Source organism: Homo sapiens, chromosome 13 (assembly GCF_000001405.40).
Source record: "Homo sapiens chromosome 13, GRCh38.p14 Primary Assembly".
Lineage (NCBI taxonomy): Eukaryota > Metazoa > Chordata > Mammalia > Primates > Hominidae > Homo > Homo sapiens.
In genome coordinates, this window is record NC_000013.11 from 37,828,632 (window position 1) to 37,849,912 (window position 21,281).

The 21,281-nt window shown below is 36.1% G+C and overlaps 1 protein-coding gene across 9 annotated transcripts in view; it reads right to left on the reverse strand.

Moving 5' to 3' along the window:
* Window positions 1-21,281, reverse strand: part of TRPC4 (transient receptor potential cation channel subfamily C member 4) — a 237,710-nt gene that overhangs the window by 196,569 nt on the left and 19,860 nt on the right. The window lies entirely within an intron of this gene.

Sequence of the window (21,281 nt, forward strand, 5' to 3'; positions counted from 1 at the left end):
CCATGGAATACTACATATCTATGAAAAAGAATGAGATTATGTTCTTTGCAGCAACATGGTTAGGCCTGGAGGCCATTATCCTAAGCAAACTAACACAGGAACAGAAAACCAAATACCACATCTTCTCCCTTGTAAGTGGGAGCTAAGCATGGAGTACATACAGAAACAAAGAAGGGAAAAACAGACACTGGGGCCTACTTGATGGTGTTTGGTGGGACTAGGGTGAGGATTGAAAAACTACCTATCAGGTGCTGTGCTTATTACCTGTACATCAGACTCACACAACACACAATTACCTATATAAACAATCTGCACATGTACCCCTGAAACTAAAATAAAAGTTAAGAAAAAAATTTAAAAAGAGCTAAAAACTATACAATTCTTATTGAAAACATAGGTATAAATCCCGAAGACCTTGGATTTTGCCATGATTTCTTACATATGACAATAAATCACAAGCAACCAAAGAAAAAATAGATAAGCTGGATGTTATCAAAATTAAAACGCTTTTCCTTAAAAGGACACTATCAAGAAAGTAAAAGACAACACACAGAATGAAAAATAATTTGCAAATCATGTCTACCAAAGGTCTTGTGTCCAGAATATAAAAAGAACAACTAAGCCTCAAATATAAAAAGGCAAATATTCAGATTTTTTAAAAAATGTGCAAAGAATATAAACAGACATTTCTCTAAAGATTATAAATGGCTATTAAGCACATGCAAACATGCTCCATATCATAAGTCATTAGTGAAATATAAATCAAAACCACAATGAGATACCACTTTGCACCCACTGGGATAGCTTCAATTAAAACAAAAACAAAAAGAAAACAACCCAGAAAATAGCAAGTGTTGGTAAGGACGAGGCGAAATGGGAATCTTTGTGCATTGCTGGTTGGATTGGGAACCAATAAAACCAGTTGGATCAGCCACTTTGGGAAACACTTCAGTGGTTCCTCAAAAAAATTAAACATAGAATTACCACATGACCCAGCAATTCTACTTCTAGATATACACTCAAATTAAATGAAAATATATGTCACACAGAAATTTGTACGTGAATGTTTATAGTAGCACTGTTCATAATAGCCAAAAGTTGGAACCAACATAAAGTCCATCAACAGATGAATGGTAAAATCAAATATATATATATAATAGACTGTCATTCAGCAATAAAAATTTGAAGCACTAGTTCGTACTACAACACAGATGAACCTTGAAGACATTATTCTAAGTTAGGGAAGTCAGACACAAAAGACCACATGTTATGTTATTCCATTTATATGAAATACACAAAATAGGTAAATCCATGGGAAAAGAAAGTAGATCAGTGATTGCCAGGGGTTGGATGGGGCTGAGTGCAGTGGGTAAGAATTGGGAGTGACTGCTAATGACTATGGGGTTTCTTCTTGTGGTGACAAAAATGCTCTGAAATTAGAGGTCTGTGCAACATGATGACTATATTAAAAACTATTAAATTGTGTATTTTAAAAGGGTGAGTCTTATGGTATGTGAATTATATTTTGATCATTTAAAAATGATATGTTAATTTTTTAAAAAGTTGAGATAAGCATGCTTCAGCACATAAATGTGGTAAAATTTCCCTCCAGCTGGCTGCACCATTAAAAATATTAAAGGAAGTTTTTTACACAGAAAAAGAAAACACACAGAAATATGTATCTATAGGAAAAAATAAATAAAACATTAAAATGGTTAAGTACATGAATGAATATAAACATGTTGTTATTATTTATTATTTAATATTATTTAAATTCTTTTTAAAGAGAATTGCTTGCTGGACATGATGGCTGACGCCTGTAATCCCAGCATTTTGGGAGGCTGAGGCAGGCGGATAACCTAAGGTCAGGAGTTCAATCAAGACCAGCCTGACCAACATGGTGAAACCCCGTCTCTACTAAAAATACAAAATTAGCCTGGCATGGTGGTGCATGCCTGTAATCCCAGATACTCAGGAGGCTGAGGCACAAGAATCACTTGAACCTGGGAGGCAGAGGTGGCAGTGAGCCGAGATCATGCCATTGCATTCCAGCCAGGACAACCAGAGCGAAATTCCGTTTTAAAAAAAAAAAAGTCTGCTTAAGCAAAAATAATTTTAAAAATCTATGGTGGTATAAATAACATTTATATAATATATAGTATATATTTTTTGTATATATATATATATATAATATAATAGTATAAAGTGTAGAAGGGGAGAAAAGTAAGCGTAATGTTTTAACTTTCTTTTACTATATAGGAAGTAGTATCATATCATATGAAGGCAGACTGTGAAAAGTTAAAGTATATAAACTAAAGTAAAAATTTAAAAATGAAATCATAGTTTGAGTTTCTTATCTATTTTAGATGTTCTTCTCTTATTAGATATAAGATTTGCAAATATTTTCTCCCAATTTTGCCTTGTCTCTTCGCTCTGTTAGTTGTTTCTTTTGCTGTACAGAAGAATTTTTTTTTCACATTTGATGCATCTATTTTTGCTTTTGTTGCCTGTGCTTTTGGGGTCATATTCAAGAAATCATTGCCCAGACATTCAATAATAGGAAAACAAACAACCCTAATAAAAATTGGGCAAAAGGCTTGAATAGACATTTCTCAAAAGAAGACATACAAATAAACAGTAGATGTATGAAAAATGCTCAATATCACTAATATCAGGGAAATGCAAATTAAAATTACAATGAGGTATCACCTCCCATCTGTTAGAATATCAATTATCAAAATGATGAAAGATAACTAGTATTGGCAAGGATGTAGAGAAAAGGAAATCCTCATACGCTGTTGTTGGGAATATAAATAGGTACAGTCATTTTGGAATATAGTATGGAGGTTCGAAAAAACAAAATGGAATCACCATAAGATCCAGCAGTACTGCTCCTGGGTATACACTCAAAGGAACTGAAATCAGTATTTCAAGGAGACACCTGCCTTCCCATGTTCATTACAGAATTATTCACAATAGTCAAGGTATGGAATCAACCTAAGTGTATATAAATGGATGAATGGATAAAGAAAAAAATGCTGTATACATACACAATAGAATACCATTCAGCATTATAAAAAGGTAAATCTTGTCATTTGTGACAACATAGATGTATATGAAGGACATTATGCTAAATGAAATAATCCGAGCACAGAGAGACAAATACTTGCATGATCTGACTTATAGCTGGAACCTGAAAAAGTCAAGCTCAGAGAAGTAGAGAGTAGAATGGTGGTTACCAGAGTCTGGCAGGAGGGTGGAGTGGGGAAAGGGGAGATGTTACCTAAAGGATTCAAGGTTTCAGTTAAGGCAGGAGGAATAGATTATAGTGATCTATTGCATAACATGTTGACTATATTTTACAATGTGTTGTATATTTCAAAATCAATAAAAGAATATATTTTAAATGGTCTTACCAAAAAGAAATGATAAGTAGGTGAGGTAATAAATATATTGATTAGCCTGCTCAAACATTCCGCAAGGTATATTTGTAACACAACATTACATTGTACCCCACAAATATATGCAATCATTATTTGTAAATTACAGTAAAATAATTTTTTAAATGACACGATATTGTTGTTTTTAAGCCAACAAATGAGAGAAAATTAGATCACTAAAAAATACTCAATTTGGCCACGCGCTGTAGCCTGTAATCCCAGCACTTTGGGAGGCTGAGGCGGGCAGATCATTTGAGGTCAGGAGTTTAAGACCAGCCTGACCAACATGGTGAAACCCTGACTCTACTAAAAATAAAAAAGAAAATTAGCTGGGCGGTGCACCTGTAGCCCCAGCTACTCAGGAGGCTGAGGCAGTAGAATCTCTTGAACCCGGGAGACAGAGGTTGCAGTGAGCTGAGATCATGCCACTGCACTCCAGCCTAGGTGACAGAGCAAGACTCCGTCAAAAACAACAACAACAACAACAAAAACTCAATTTATCTGAAAGAAGACCAAAACAAGTAAATAAAGAACACATGAAACAAATAGGAATCGAATAGTTAGATGATTCAATTAAATCTAACGAACAGGACATATTAAAATCAATAATTACAAAAATTTAAAATTATAAACACCCAAGGAAAAGATAGAGATGTTTATATTGAATAAAAAATAAGATCAAACTATATACTGTTTACAAAATATATGCTTTAAATGTAAAGATAACAGTTAAAAGTAAAAAGGTGGAAAGGGCACACCATGCTAACTCTAGTCAATAGAAAACTACAGTATGTATCTATTGATTAACCTCTAAACCCTTTAAAAACTTTATGCTAAACTATTTTCATGTTAGATGTGTTTTTATTTATCCTACTATGTCTATTACTTTGTTTTCAGCAGTATCGAGTCCTGCTTCTTATAATTTCTCTCTTTTCCTGGATTCATTTTATTTATTTCATTTCCTTGCTGCACTCTGCCAGTTCATAGTTCTTTTTTCTTGTTTATCTCTTCCTAAGCTCCTTCATTATTGATTTGGTGCTTTTGCTTCACAGAGATTTTTAAAAATTCATAGTAAAATGCCATTTTCTTCTGCTTCTCATTCTATGTTTCTGGCATGCATTCTTCATCTCCTATTTTATTTTCTGCCAATTTTTTCTGATTATTTTCCTGCATTATATTTCTAAAGCTTCTGTACTTTTTCTTTCTTAACTCATCATTGAACTCATGATTTATGAGCTCAGTTATAGAAAAAAAAATTATCTAAAAGAAGTTTTGCTTGGACAAGCTATTTGATACGGCATTCACCTGATTGAAAAGTACCACAACGACTTTCACAACCATCTGGGCATATTCTTAGGATACAGAGTTTTGCCCATTAATTCACTTAGCTGTTAACGTCTTTCCTACTAGTGAAGATGGGCAGCTGACGATCTTAAAAATGAAAAGATACTCTCCTCCTGCTCTGTCAAAGAGACAGACTGTGCTTCCTGTGAGTGGTTCTTTACTTAGCCTTGCCTTTGGGTCTAGAACATCAGCTGCCACCTGCAGATGCACCTGCAAACCTAATTTTATGGTAAGAAGTAAGATATTTCTGGCATCTCGGGGTTTTGCGCCTCAACTGTCAGAAGAATAATTTAGCTGGACTCTTAGGAGATCTGTGGTTGTGGGGCCTTTTCTCAATGCATCCTACTCAGTCTTCATTCAGCCTTCACAAAACCATCCACCCATTTGGCTTTCCAGGATCTTAGCTGTTTTCTAATTTTAACAAAAAAATGGAGGATATAGTTTTTAAATTTTTTTATTGTCTTTGTATTTTAGCTAAGAAGAGTAGTCTGACAGTACAGTTTTATCTTCAAACAAGAAACTGCTATCAAGTGTAGCGGTTATACTTGCATTTTCTATAACTGAGCTAATAAATCATGATACCTTAATATTTTTTATTCATTGGAATACTATTTATCTTCATGCTATATTTGCATTTTTCACATAAATTTAGTTCATCAGGTGACATATTCAGAAACTGCAATATGAGTTCATGCCAATAGTCTATCTGTCCCAGATATTACATAAATTTCGGCACATATTTCACTTAAAACATAAACACTGTTTATAAATGTTCTACATAGCTATCTTCTTTTCAAGACTCTGAGTACAATATTGACAAAACATTTAATTTTTTCACTCTTATGCATCCTTCCAAATTCTAATTGTTTCCTAACCTAAATTATGTGTTGTTTTTGAATACTTTAAGTCACATGTACTTTCAATTGATTTTGACTATTTTATGTTTTTAGTTAAGGAAAGTTCCTACTTAATACATTAAAGAATCAAAACTTTGCCCACTGGGTTTTTGTTTACGTGTGAATTATATTACTGAAAGTGGGTCAAAAATGATCAAGCTATTTCAAAATTATTTTCTATGAACTCTAAACCACAAACACTTGTCACATTGAAAAAGATTACTTTCCTCATAAATTCCCAACTAAATTCTGACATGCAAGAATATGTTCTTGCCATACTTATTGTGTTATGTTTTCTCATTGACATAGTTTCCATGACAGAACCTTTAGATGAGTACAGTAAATGAGATGCACTCTGGTTTCTCCAACATACTTGGATCAATCTTGAGTTTATCTCACTCTCCATTTATTTATTTATTTATTACATTTTTTTGAGACAGAGTCTCGCTCTGTCACCCCAGGCTGGAGTGCAGCAGCACAATCTCGGCTCACTGTAATCTCTGCCTCCTGGGTTCAAGTGATTCTTGAGTCTCCTGCCTCAGCCTCCCAAGTAACTGGGGGTACAGGCATGTGCCACCATGCCTGGCTAACTTTTGTATTTTGAGTAGAGATGGGTTTTCACCAAGTTGGCCAGGCTGGTCTTGAACTCCTGGCCTCAAGTGATCTGCCTGTATTGGCCTCCCAAAGTGCTGGGATTACAGGCATGAACCACCAGCAGGCCCAGCCTGTTTTTTTTTTTAATTTTTTTTTTAAATCCTGCATATTGTCGATGGAAGAAAAACAAAACAAAACAAAATAAAAGCACATTGGAATGTTTGCCAATATGAAACCTGTTTTCTAGCAACAATTATCCTTTCAAAGTTGGTAGTCAGTTTTACTTGCTTCAGTCGGCTGACTGTTTCATTCTCTTCGGTGGCTCTTAATAACTTTTCATTTTAACTTCATGCCTTCAAAAAATTACTACTTCCTCCTTCTGAGGGCGTTCATTGTAAAATATGACCTATGAATGTCCAGTGTCCTCCATTCACAGCCATTTCTCTCTCTGGTATTAATGGTTCATGTATGCTTGTTTCTGCTAAAGGCAACACGCTTTACCTGCACTCTTGTCCAACATCTTGCTACTTGCATCTTTCTTGCTCTTGCATCTTTATGATGCTGTACAAACACCATGGGTTTCTTTATTCTTGCATATCCTGTCACATGTCTTTCCTCCTTCTCTGTCTTACTAGCTACTGAGAACACCCAAGATACTGACAGGAGTAGTAGAGAAAGGAAGACGTGTGCAGACAGTGACGTAGCAGAAGTCACTGGAAACTTTGACATGACAGTGACAAAGAAAGATAAAAGGTATAAGTGAGTAGCCAAAAAAAGAGGAAGATAACAAATGTTTTGTATCCTAGCTATTCTCAAGCTTATTTTTAGATTCAACACATAAGGTGCATGACATTAGTATGTACAGCATACTCGTATGCACAATTCCCAATATATTGGTTAATACATCAGGAACAATATAACAAGGGTAAATACAAATATGCTCTAACATTTAATTACTTCTTTTCTCAAAATTTCTAGTTTATATTTAATAATGAATTATTTGTACTGAAATGGTTTGGCTCTGCCCCCACACAAATCTCATCTTAAATTCCTGCATATTGTGGGAGGGTCCCAGTGGGAGGTAATTGAATCATGGGGGCAAGTCTTTCCCATGCTGTTCTCATGATAGTGAATAAGTCTCAAGAGATCTGATGGTTTCATAAAGAGGAGTTCTCCTGCACGAGTTCTCTCTCTTTGCCTGCTGCCATCCATGTAAGATGTGACTTCCTCCTCCTTGCCTTCTGCCTGATTGTGAGGCTTCCCCAGCCATGTGGAACTGTAAGTCCATTAAACCTCTTTCTTTTGTAAATTGCCCAGTCTCGGGTATATTTTTATCAGCAGCATGAAAACAAAATAATACAGTAAGTTGGTACCAAGAATGAGACACTGCTGAAAACGTACTTGAAAATGTGGAAGCAACTTTGGAACTGGGTAACAGGAAGAGGTTGGGACAGTTTGGGGGGCTCAGAATACAGGAAAATATGGGAAAGTTTGGAACTCCCTAGAGGCTCGTTGAATGGCTTTGCCCAAAATGCTGATAGTGATATGGACAATGAAATCCAGGTTGAGGTGGTTTCAGATGGAGATGAGAAAATTTTTGGGAACTGGAGTAAAGGTGACCGTTGTTATGTTTTAGCAAAGAGACTGGTGGCATTTAGCCCCTGCCCTAGAGATTTATGGAACTTTGAACTTGAGAGAGATGATTTAGGGTATCTGCTGGAAGAAATTTCTAAGCAGCAAAGCACTGGGTGCTGTTAAAGGCATTCAGTTTTAAAAGGAAAATGGAGCCTAAAAGTTTGGAAAATGTGTAGCCTGACAATGTGTTAGAAAAGAAAATCCCATTGTTTGGGGAGGAATTCAAGCTGGCTACAGAAATTTGCATAAGTAACAAGGAGCCAAATGTTAATCCCCAAGACAATGCGGAAAATGTCTCCAGCACATGTGAGAGGTCTTCATGGCAGCCCCTCCCATCACAGGCCCAGAGACCTAGGAGGAAAAAGTGGTTTAATGGGCCAGGCCCAGAGTCGCTGTGCTGTGTGCAGCCTAGGGACTTGGTGACTTTAGTTCCAGCCACTCCAGCCATGACTGAATGGGGCCAACATAGAGCTCAGGCCATGGCTTCACAGGGTGCAAGCCTCAAGCCTTGGCAGCTCCCACATGGTGTTGAGCTTTCCAGTGCACAGAAGTCAAGAATTGGGGTTTGGAAATCTCCACCTAGATTTCAGAAGATGTATAGAAACACCCAGATGCCCAGGCAGAAGTTTGTTACAGGGGCAGGGCCCTCATAGAGAACCTCTGCTAGGGCAGTGCAAAAGGAAAATGTAGGGTGAGATCCCCCACACAGAGTCCCTACCAGGGCACCACCTAGTGGATCTGTGAGAAGAGGGCCACCTTCCTCCAGACCCTAGAATGGTGTATCCACCAACAGCTTGCACCATGTGCCTGGAAAAGCTGTGGATACTCAATGCCAGCCCATGAAAGCAGCCAGGAGGGAAGCTGTGCCCTGCAAAGGCTTGGCTGCCCAAGACCATGGGAACCCACCTCTTACCTCAGCATGACCTGGATGTGAGACTTGGAGTCAAAGGAGATCATTTTGGAGCTTTAAGATTTGACTGCTCCACTGGATTTCAGACTTGCATGGGGCCTGTAGCCTCTTTTTGGCCAACTTCTCCCATTTGGAATGGCTGTATTTACCCAGTGTCTGTACTCCCACTGTATTTAGGAAATAACTAAGCTGCTTTTGATTTTACAGGCTCATAGGTGGAAGGGACTTGTCTTATCTTGGATGAGACTTTGCACTGTGGACTTTTGAGTTAATGCTGAAATGAGTTAAGATTTTGGGGGACTGTTGGGAAGGCATGATTGGTTTTGAAATGTGAGGTCATAAGATGTGGGACGAGCCAGGGGTGGCATGATATGGTTTGGCTGTGTCCCCACTCAAATCTCATCTTGAATTCCCACATGTTGTGGGAGGGACCCAGTGGGAGATAATTGAATCATGGGGGCAAATTTTTCCCATGCTATTCTTGTGACAGTGGATAAGTCTCACGAGGGCTGATGGTTTCAGAAGGAGGAGTTTCCCTGAGTGAATTCTCTCTCTTTGCCTGATGCCATCCATGTAAGACGTGACTTGTTCCTCCTTGCCTTCCACCATGATTTTGAGGCTTCCCCAGCCACATGGAACCGTAAGTCCATTAAACCTACTTCTTTTGTAAATTGCCCAGTCTCAGATATGTCTTTACCAGCAGTGTGAAAATGGACTAACACATATTCCAAACTTCTTATCCAACCACATGGAAATACTGCAACATTAAAATAGAGAACCATTGATCTGAGCCAGCTGTTCTTAGTGTGTGGTCTCCAGATCAGCAGTATCTGTGTCACCTGGGAACTTATTAGGAATGCAAATTCACATGCTCTACCTCTCACCCACTAATCCAACACTTTGGGGCATAGCCTAGCAATCTGATGAACTCTAGTTTGACAGTAACAGATTTTGATTCTAGACCTTTTTATAAAAACAGACACACTGAAGTACAAGTCACAAAGGCAGAGTTAAAGTCGACCACAGGATATTTTTTTTTCATAAGTGATCTTGTTCACACAGTCCATATAAATACTGTCTTGCACTTAATAATTACTAAAATATGTCATTTGAATGAAATAACTCAGATGATTTCTTTTTTAGTAAGTAAAAATTTAGAACTTTTACCTATTTTAAAATCAAAAGTATCAAAATGATTCCATTGTACTAAATTTACCTTTTACTTGCCCTGACTCTAATCAATATATACACAATATTCACTTCTCTATGTACCATATTTTAGGTATATTCTTACTCTTGTATAGAGAGAAGCATTAAAGGAAAGTTAAGAATATATATACACCTAAAACCATATTCTACATTTGCATATACTTGCTTTGCTGGGAGGTCTTGAGTCTTTCTTAAGCCTCAGTACTTCTGTCCACGATTATAATTATCAAGAAAAGTTCCCCATTTACAGAAGAAGAAAAGAGTCCTCAAGGAGTTACATAATCTACCAAGGTGACACAGCTACTAAGAGATAGAGCTGAGATGGACTCTGGTACATCTGATATCATGCTCTTATATATATCTTATAAAGTTAGTCTGAGAATTAAATAATATTCAGAAAGATTTCAACGTAGTGACTACATAGTATATGCTCCATCAATATTGACAAGTAGTAGTATTGATATTTTATTACTGCTAGGGCAGTACCAAGAGGAATTCCCAGGGATTTCTACCAACAGGATGCCTTGATACCTTGTAGCTATTCGCATTCCCTCCTAGAGCCATCATGTGCCTGCTTTTCCTCTGTTCTCCCCCTTTGTGGAGTCCTTGCTCTACCGAAAACCAGGTAGTAAGGACTATAGTAAAGGTGATGAGTTCCTGGCCTCCAAATTTGCACTCTAATTACATCTCTTTCTTTAAAGCTTAGATACCATCGTCAGAGTCAAGGACATTACTTGTTTTATAATACAGGCACATCCAGGGTTAATCTATGTCTCTAGTCATTAAAGAGAACATGATATCAATGAAAAAGTTACAGTCAATCAATTTGGAAACCACCTGAGAGCTTTAACTCAATTTTAATAATTCGGTTTCAATAATAAATCATTAGATATTATCCTGTCATTTAATGAGGGATCATTATGTACCAAGCATTGTGATTTATTTTCTATATCTTACCAACTGCACTGTCAGATAGATATTCTTAGTTTCAGTTTATAGATGAGAAACCTGGGGATTACAGATATTAGGTAACTTATACTAGGTTACTCAGCTCCTGAATATGAGGATCAAGATTCAAACTGGAATCTATGTAGCATCAAATCTGAGGCTTTTAATCAACTCCCCTAGAAAAATTGGGGTGGCTTCAGACAAGTCAAATGAAAGACATTGTGAAAGTGTCTGTCACAGAAAAATTATCATGCTATTATTTTTCTCAAATGCTGTTAACCCTAATATTCCATCAACCAAGTATTCTATCCTCCTGCCATAATTTACTGTAAAAACAATCACATTTGGGTCTGAAACATGATCCTTTTATTGGATCATCAATAATTAATTTTCAGACACAAATTTTACTCTAAACAGAATTTTTGCAAGCAGAAAATAATATGCATTTTTTGTGTTTTCCTCTGAAAATTTGTTTACTGGTTATGTCAGTGGAAACTCCAGGAAGATATATCAAATTGAATATAATAGAGGTTGATTACAGAATAAATCACATCAATTATTTAATTCTCCTTCTTTAGTGTTTCTCTTGTTAGGTATCTGGCACAACTTTCTAGGTTTTTCAGCCAATGGGCTGTAGAAAGGCAATGCTGCAAATGAGGAGGGTAATAAAAAAATGAAAAATCTTTAGTACAATTATTATTCAAAGATGTGTTTGAAAGAGTTTGTTTAAAAGTATTTAGACAGTTACAAACTGAATTTAATTGGTATAATAAATGTAATAACTATAAAGGATAATCTTTGTAGGAAAACTCTTTTAATATGATTCCTTAGACCCTTTTATATCAATGTCCTGCCAGAATCATGAAGACTTCATTCACTTATACCATCCCTTCTCATCATTCTCTATCTCCTCCCTCTAATGTTGATAATTATTTTAGTATTAACTTTAATCATATGAAGTCAACATTTTTATAGGCAAAATTATCAAATATAGGCAGTTTTATATGTTCCAAACTGTTATATATGTTATAATATTATTATTTAAAAAGATTAATAAATTCCTGTTTAATGTTCTAGTCTCATTTTAACAGCTACTTTCTAACATTAGTGAACTATAAATTTATTTTTACATTTTCAAGTTTATAACATTCCCAGCATGTTCAGCCACCAAAAGTTGGCCTTCCATCTTTTGTTGATTTGAGTCTATCATCGGAAAACAATAAATTTTATTACACTAAAATAACCATATTAATATTGTTCATTGCAGAGCCAAGTTCTGGTCTAGGAATCAATTTCCTTCTCTACAAATTCAGTGTCATTCCTAATGGTATTATTTTTGCTATTCAAGTAATTAATTCACTTTGAATATAGAATTCAACACAAACCCACCTAATTCTAATCAGCACAAAGCCAAAAATTTTATATTATTGGTTAAAACTGATGCATTCTCAATACTTTTGTAATAATATAAAATAAAATTTAAAAGTAGTTGAAATTGTGCTTGTTTATAATAATAACAGGTGATTTACAGAGGATCACAATGAGCAAGTAAGGATTTAATCAAGATTATACAAGAAAATATTTTATGCTAAATCTGTATATCAACAGAAATAAGAATAGTCTAGGGATAAGCTAATAGGGAAAAGATGGTTGGCATACCCATCTATTGAACACCTCACTATAAGCAATTAATGAAGCAAAAACCTGATTTTCTTTCCTGCAAAAATTTGGGTAAATCCTTGTTTTCTCGGTTCCTTACCTTTTCCTTTTTAAAAATAAAAGTGGTGTAAAAGAACAAATATCAATGTTAGATTTCATTAAAATTTAAACATTTCTAGTTAAGAGGATGAAATGACAAGCTACAGACTTGAAAACATGTACAAATCCCATATCTAATAAATAGCTAATATCTAGGATGCATAAAGAAATATAAAACTTTAACACTAAATAAAAACAATTAGAAAATATTCAAAAAACAGAAAGAGAAGCTTTACTGAAAGGTGATCTATAGATGACAAATAAGCACATGAAAAGATGTTTAACATCATTAGCCATTGTAGAAATACAAAATAATGCCACAATGAGATATCACTACTATAAAAATGGCTAAAATAAGATATAGTAATGACACTAAATGCTGGTGAGGAGGTGAACAGACTAAATCATTCATGCATTGTTAGCAGGTATGCAAAATGTTACAACTAACTGCTCTAAAAAACAGTTTCTTTAAAAATGAAGCATGCCACTATCATGTGACTCAACAATTAAATTATACTCTGGACAGGTATCCCAGATAAATGAAGACTTACATTCAAACAGACATCTTAAAATCATAAAATTTTATTTATATTACAGTCTCAAAAAGAAAAAGAAAACTTATGGCCAGGCACAGTGGCTCATGCCTGTAACCCCAGCACTTTGGGAGGCCAAGGTGGGTGGATCACTTGAGGTCAGGGGTTTGAGACCAGCCTGGCCAACACGGTGAAACCCCATCACCACTAAAAATACAAAAATTAGCTGGGTGTGGTGGCATACACCTGTAATCCCAGATACTCGGGAGGCTGATGCAGGAGAAATGCATGAACCCAGGAGGCAGAGGTTGCAGTTAGTGGAGATCTCGCCACTGCACTCCAGCCTAGGCAACAGAGCAAGACTCAATCTCAAAAAAAAAAAAAAAACCTTATACAGATGGAAAACACATTAGTGGTTTCTAGCAATTAATGATAGCGTCTAGCCAAAAAAAAAAAAAAAAAAAAAAAAAAAGGAAAAGGAAAAGTATAAATCGGGGGCAGATCTTAGAATAAACACAATTCAAATATTCTTAAAAAGAAAAAGAAAGAGTTGGTGATTCTTCCTATCTTTGTTTCTGTAGCTGTTGTATTGAAATAGGTACTATAGACTGAGTGGCTTATAAGGCACAAAATTTTTATCTCATAGCTATGAAAGCTGGGAAGTTCAAGATTAAGGTAGCGGCAAGTCTGGTGAGGCCCAACTTTCTAGTTCATAGATGGCACCTTCTTGCTGTGTTCCCACATGGTGAAAGGAGCAGGTAGCTCTCTAGGGAACTTTTGTAATGGCACTAATCACATAAGGGTAGACCCCTCATGACCCAATAACTTTCCAAAGGCCTCACCTCCTAATACCATCACTTTCAGGGTTAAGATTTCAGCATATAAATTTTTAGAGGGAAATATTCAGGTCATAGAGCTTTTTGAAACCAGACATTGATAAATAAGGATGAGAAATGGAACGAAAAGAGTAAGGATGCTATATTTTCCTAGACGCTGTACAGCTGTAATTAAATCTAGTCCTTCAAAAATGAACACTTTAGCAAATGCTATAAAGCTTTTAAAAGCTTGGAAACAAGATATCATACCTGCTAAGGCTGATAAGAAAAACAAAGGCTGCTCAGTGATTAATATGAGTACATGAAGATGTTCCAGACTTCAAACTTGCATTATAGCACAATGGTTAATAAACTTGGCTTTGGAATTTGTGAAGTTTGGGTTGAATTTATGGTTGTACTACATACTAATTGTGTGACCTTAGAAAGTTATTTAACCATTCTAGAACTAGTTTTGTCATCTGTATAGTAGGAATGATGATGTTTTATGAGGGTAATAATATAAAATAATGCAAGTAAATCATTCAGCATAGGGCCAACCACAGACTAGTCACTCATCAAATGTTAACTTTGTTACTTTGCTACCATTTTCAGAAGAAAGTTGGAAAACCTAGTTATAGCCATTATTGGAGCTCCTTAAACTTCACATGCTTTTAGCTATTTGGAATTACAGAATCATTAAAAGTCAGTTAGCAACTTAGCATGACAATTATGTATTTTGGGGATTGTAATGTGACTTTAAGTTTCAATGCAGTAACACAAAACTAGAGACTAGAAGAAGGTTTGCAGAAAAGATATTACATTTAGTATGTGATTCTTTACAAAATACTCAAGAAAATTGAACCCAGTAGTGTTAATATATCAACTGCTTAATGGCACAAAAATGATTTCAGTCCTGAGGGTGTCCAGGTATAGTGTTACAGAACTATGTCTTCAACTGATGTTTGGTGACACACACACACACACACACACACGCACACATACACACATGCACACACAGAGTAGTGTGTTAGCAAGACAGCAGAATAGGAGTTCTCCAGCTTCACTCTCTCCTACCTACCACAGAAATCTAACCAGCAACTATCCGCAGGCAAGAAGATAATTCTGAATATCCCACACCTTGGAAGTGAGTCAAGGACACTCCTTTCTTTGGACCAAAGCACTGAGAAAATTTTGATCCCAATGGTAAGATGAATGATTCTCCTTGATTGTGCCACCCCTCTCCCAAGCTGGCACAGGAACACACACTAAGATTTTTCCTGAACCCACAGTTTCTACAGTAGGAAAAATAAGTTGGAAGCAAACATTAAGTTTCCCTACAATTTTGGAACCCTTTCAGGAGACTGATATCTGTCTCATCCCATGGGAAACATTGGAAATGCCAGCATGGCTAGATTACCTGAGTTTAGTTAGAAACAAAGAACAGAGATAGAGCTAATAGTGACCAGCTTGCAGACCTTGGTAGTTACTCTATATTTGGGCTGATAATGGTGTCAAACCAGAGAGACTAGCTGACAGCATCACACTACAGGAAACATGGTTCACAGGTCTTTCTTTTTTTTTTTCTTTCTTTATTTTTTGAGACAGAGTTTCACTCTTGTTGCCCAGGCTGGAGTGCAATGGCACAATCTCGGCTCACTGCAACCTCCATCTCCCAGGTTCAAGCAATTATCCTGCCTCAGCCTCCCAAGTAGCTGGGATTACAGGCATGCACCACCATGCCCAGCTAATTTTTGTATGTTTAGTATAGGCAGGGTTTTGCCATGTTGGTCAGGCTGGTCTCGAACTCCTGACCTCAGGCGATTCACCTGTCTCAGCCTCCCAAAGTGCTGGGATTACAGGTGTGAGCCACTGCTCCACGCCAGTTCATGGATCTTTCAGGCTTGAATCCCTAGCCAGCTTTTCCACCCAGCCCAGATGCTCTCGTTAAGCTTTTTCTAGGTGAGAGGCAAATGCAGGTCAGTGAGTACCCGTGAATAGATCATCTAGTACTGCCAAAAACCAGCAACTGCATGTAAACCAGTAACTCCACAAAACCGTGATACTCTTCTTCAGCTCACATTAAGCCAGCAGGCAAGTCTAAGTCCATGCACATCTGTAAAGCATAGCCTCTGGCTCTGCCTACTTCTGTGACCAAGCAGCAATCCTAGGTACTTCACCAGCCTTGGATCCCAGCAAATGGCCCTTCCCAACTGCAGATTTCAAATAGCAGTGCCACCCAGCCATGGAAGACAACCTGCAAACCTGTCTGATCAGAGATGACTGCAGAGCCCAGCCAGCAGCTCTACTTGATGGCAGAGTCCAGATAGTAGCCTCACTGAACCATGGAGAACAGTTAGAAATACCATTCAAATTCAGAGCACAAGAATCCACCCAGTCTAATTAGAGAACCCAACCTTAAGGTCTGTTTGGGGTCGCTACAAGCTGTCTCATCTAGAATTTTTAAGCTAGACTAGGCTAGAAGAAATAGCCATCTCCTCAAATGTGGAGGCATTAATGTAAGTACATGAGGATGATGAAAAATTAGGGAAATATGGCACCACCAAAAGAAGTTAATAAAGCTCTACTGATGGACCCAGAAGAAATGGAGATCTATAAAATGACTAACAAAAAATTCAGAACACTACTCAAAGAAGTTCAGGAAATTCCAAGAAAATATAGATAGAAAATCAAGTAAAATTTGGGAAAAAGTTATAAACAAAATGAGAAGCTTGCAAAGAAACATAAATAATAAAAAATTATGAAGCCATAAATTCTGGAGCTAAAGAATACAAAAAGTGAACTAAAAAATTAAATAGAAAGTTTCAATAGCAGACTTGATCAAGTAGATCAGTGAGCTCAGAGGACATTTGAAATTATCCAATCGATCAGAGGAGCAAAAATAAATAAATAAATAAATAAGAATGAAAAAGAATGAAGAGGGTCTATAGGAATTATGGAACACCATAAAGCAAACTAACTTTTGCATAGTAGGAATTCATGAAGAAAAAGAAAGAGAAAAAAGCCTAGAAAGCATATTTGAGAAAATAATAGCTAAAAATATCCCAAATCTGGGGAAAGACAACAACATCCAGGTACAGGCATCTCAGTCACAGGTTGCCAATCAAATTCAACCCATAGAGGACATCACCAAGATACATTATAATCAAATTATCAAAAATCAAATACAAAGAAATAATACTGAAAGCAGCAAAAGATAAGAAACATCACATTCAGTGGAGGCACAATATGGCTTTTGGCAGATTTGTCAGCAGAAACACTTCAGGCCAGAAGAGAGGCAAATTCTATATTAATAGTGCTGAAGGAATAAAAAGAAATGGCCAACCAAGAATACTTTACCAAATAAAGCTATGTTTCAGAAATGAGAAAGAAATAAAAACTTTCCCAGACAAACAAAAGCTAAGAGCATACATCACCACTAGGCGTGATTTATAGGAATTGCTAAAAGTAGTTCTTTAAGGTGAGATGAAAGGCTACTAATGAATAATTAAAATAACATTTTAAAATTAAAAATAAATCCCAATGGTAGAAGTAATATGTGGTCATACTCAGAATTCTCTAATATTGTAAGGGTGGTGTGTAAAGCAACTTTATCTCTACTAGGAGAATTAAAAGACAAAATTATTAAAAATAATTGCAGCAACAATAAATTGCTAAGAAATACAAATTACAAAAATGAATGTAAATTTTGGCATTAAATTAATAAAAAGTATGTGTGGGGTTGTGAAAGTGTAGAGTCTTTATATGGAATTAAAAGCAAGTTGTTACCAGCTTAAAGTAGTCTGTTACAGGATATTTCCTGGTAACCCACTTAGCAAAAACCCCCAGTAGTTGCACAAAATATGCAAAGAAAGGGTTCAAAGCATACCGCCACAGAAAACCATCAAACCACAAATGAAGACAGAAAGAGAGGAAGAAAAAAAAACATATAAAATAATCAAAAAACAAATTAAAAAATGCCAGCAACAAGTTTTTATGTACCAGTAATTACCTCAAGTGTAAATGGATTAAATTCTTCAATAAAAAGACATAGATTGGCTGAATGGATTAAAAAACAAGATCCAACCATATTTTCTTATAAGAGACTCACTTTACTAGTACAGATACACACAGATTAAAAGTGAAATGATTGGAAAAAAGTATTTCCCACAAATGGAAATTAAGAGAATAAGAGTAGTTACACTTAGACAAAATAGACTTTAAGTCAAATGTTATTTTTAAAAGACAAAAAGGTTATTACATAATAATAAAGGAATTGATTCACCAAGAAGAGATAACAATTGTAAATATATATGCACCCAACATCTGAGAACATAAATACATAAAGCAATTATTAAATTATCTAAAGAAAGATACTATAATAATAGGGGGCCTCGATACTCCACTTTTAAAAATAGAGCATCTAGACAGAAAATAAATAAGGGAACATGGACTTGAATTATACTTTAGATCACACGTACCTGACAGAAATATCTACAATATTCTACTCAACAGCAACAGGATTCACATTCTTCTCAAGTGCATATGGAACATTCTCCAGGATAGATCACATATTATGCCACAAAACAAATCTTAACAAATTTAAGAGAACTGAAATCATATCAAGCGGTTTTTCAGAGCACAATGATATAAAATTAGAAATCAATAATAGGAAAAAATCTAGGAAAATACACAAGCATGTGGAAATTGGACAACATGCTCCTAAATAACCAACAGGTCATAGTGTAAATCAAAAAGGAAATTTAAAAATACCTTGAGACAAATTAAAATGGAAACACAACATGCTAAACCTATGGAATGGAGCAAAGGCAGTCCTAAGTTGATGAATATCCTAATTTCCCTAATTTGATCATTATAAAATTTATAGATGTATCAGAACATCACAATGCACCCCATGAATATGTACAATTCTGCCTCAATGATTAATGAAAATAAAATAAATATTTAAAAAGGGGAAGTGGAGATTTGCAACAACATGGAGAACATTATGCTAAGTGAAATAAGCCAAGCAAAGAAAGACAAATACTGTACGATCTCATTTATAGATGGATAAAGTGGACCTTATGAAGTCCACAAATATATACAGTGGACTCATAAAGTTGAACTCACAGAAATAGAGTAGAATGATGGTTACCAGAGGATAAGCAGGGAAGCTGAAGGAAATGGGGAGGTGGTGACCAAACAGTACAAAGTTTCAGATAGATAGGAGATAAGGTTTTGGGATCTATTGCACATAAGAGTGATTATACTTAATAATAATGTATGCTACATTTCAAAGTACAGATGGCCTACAACTTACAATGGTTCAAGTTATGATTTTTCAACTTTACATGAGTTTGCCTTTTAGATTTACAATATTTTCAACTTAAATGAGTTTGTCAGGACATAAGCCCATCATAAGCTGAGGAGCATCTGTAATAGAGTACATTTCAAATGTTTCACCATAAAGAAAATAGATAAATAAGGTGATTAATATATTAATTAGTTTAACATAGACATTATACATTGTATACATATATCAAGACATCACATTAAATATCTTAAATGCATAAAATTATGATTTATCAATCAAAAATAATATCAATAGTAAAAATGTACAGTATATCTTTTTGTCCATCAAAAAACTTTAATATAAAAACCATTGTATACCAACTGCTATCACAGCACCATCCATAGAACATTATGACAAAAAGAGATAGCAGGCAGTGAAGGAAAACTGGAGGGGAAGGAATTCCGATTCCTGACTTATTTCTTCATTCATAATCATTTTTGATGCTTGTAAGAGCACATAGATAGAGGGAAAATCAAGTTGCAGACAGAAGTGAGCTTGAAGTTTCCACTGAGAAGACCAGAATCGGAGCAAAGTAGGTCTCTCCAATATGACACACACACACCCTCATCCCATCATCTGGAGAAACGCAAGCCTAGTTAGGAGATGATCAAAAGGTTACTGAAATTATTATCAAGAACAACTTCAAGCAGACCAGGGAAATCTGTGAGAAGGTGGTCCTGGTCATCAGTACTCATGAAGAAAAAGTGGAATAATGCCTTTCTGTCAAATATAAAAGGTATGTGGGGAGTAAAGAAAGCACTGAAGTTTGAAAGAATTAAGAACTAACATGCTTTTGTAGGTCTATGAAGTAGAAATGAGGTGATCTTTTGGGGCTGAGTTTAAGAGATTCTCAACATCTTCTCTTCCTTCAAAACTATCTTGAGTATAGATAATATGCCTAAAGTCCTGCAGATGGTACCCTACAGCTGTTAAGCAGGCTTGATTATCTTTTTCTCCAGATGTGACAAGAGACTTGCTGAGGTCCCACTACAGCCCATTGCCAGGACCTAGATTCCCACAGTCAGATGAAATCTATGAGCTTCCTGGGAAGGAGGCTGGGTATGCATCCATGGAGGCTCACGCCCTTCATAGAAGGGTATCTCAGAGGTGAAATGTGATTCTGGATTACTATGCCATCTAGCTTATTATGTCATTGTCCCAACTGACATGGAAACTGTGATTCATCTATACCATCAAATACTACTGAGCAATAAACAATAATAAGTTATTGATACAAAAAAACAACTTGGATGAATCTAGGTGCTTGTGACTAAGATATTCCAATGGAAAGGATGACTGGCTGTGAGGTGCGTTCTCCTGAAGCTTGTTTTTGACCATGCAATAAACTCCTTCCCATGGTGGTAGATGTAGTGTTGAGGAACAAAGTCAAAACCAAGTCATCAGACTTTGGGTTGAGGGACAGATTAAGGATGTCAGCCCAAAATACAAATGGAAACCTCCCTTCTTGGACATGACCAAGCAGCCACTGAGTCTAGAATTTTATCTAAATCCACGCTAACTTCTGAACAAACCTAAATGAATTTTCACTCAGACCGTCCAACAGGATCTCATTGTGCCTAAAACAGATCTTAAACTGGAAGGGATTGTGGAAAACAAAAACAAAAACAAAAAACACAAACTTGGATTCTCCAGCCTCAGAATGTTCAGCACTGACAACCTAACTTTTACTTGATCAGGCTGGAGCTGAGACCGTGCTGTGTTGGGAGCCAATCATGGTCATCGGTGTTGGGAAGATGGCATTTCTCTCATTCACTCCTGCATCATCTGGCACAGATTAAAATTACAGTGCACATTAGAAACAACACAGAAGACAAATAATCCACATCTC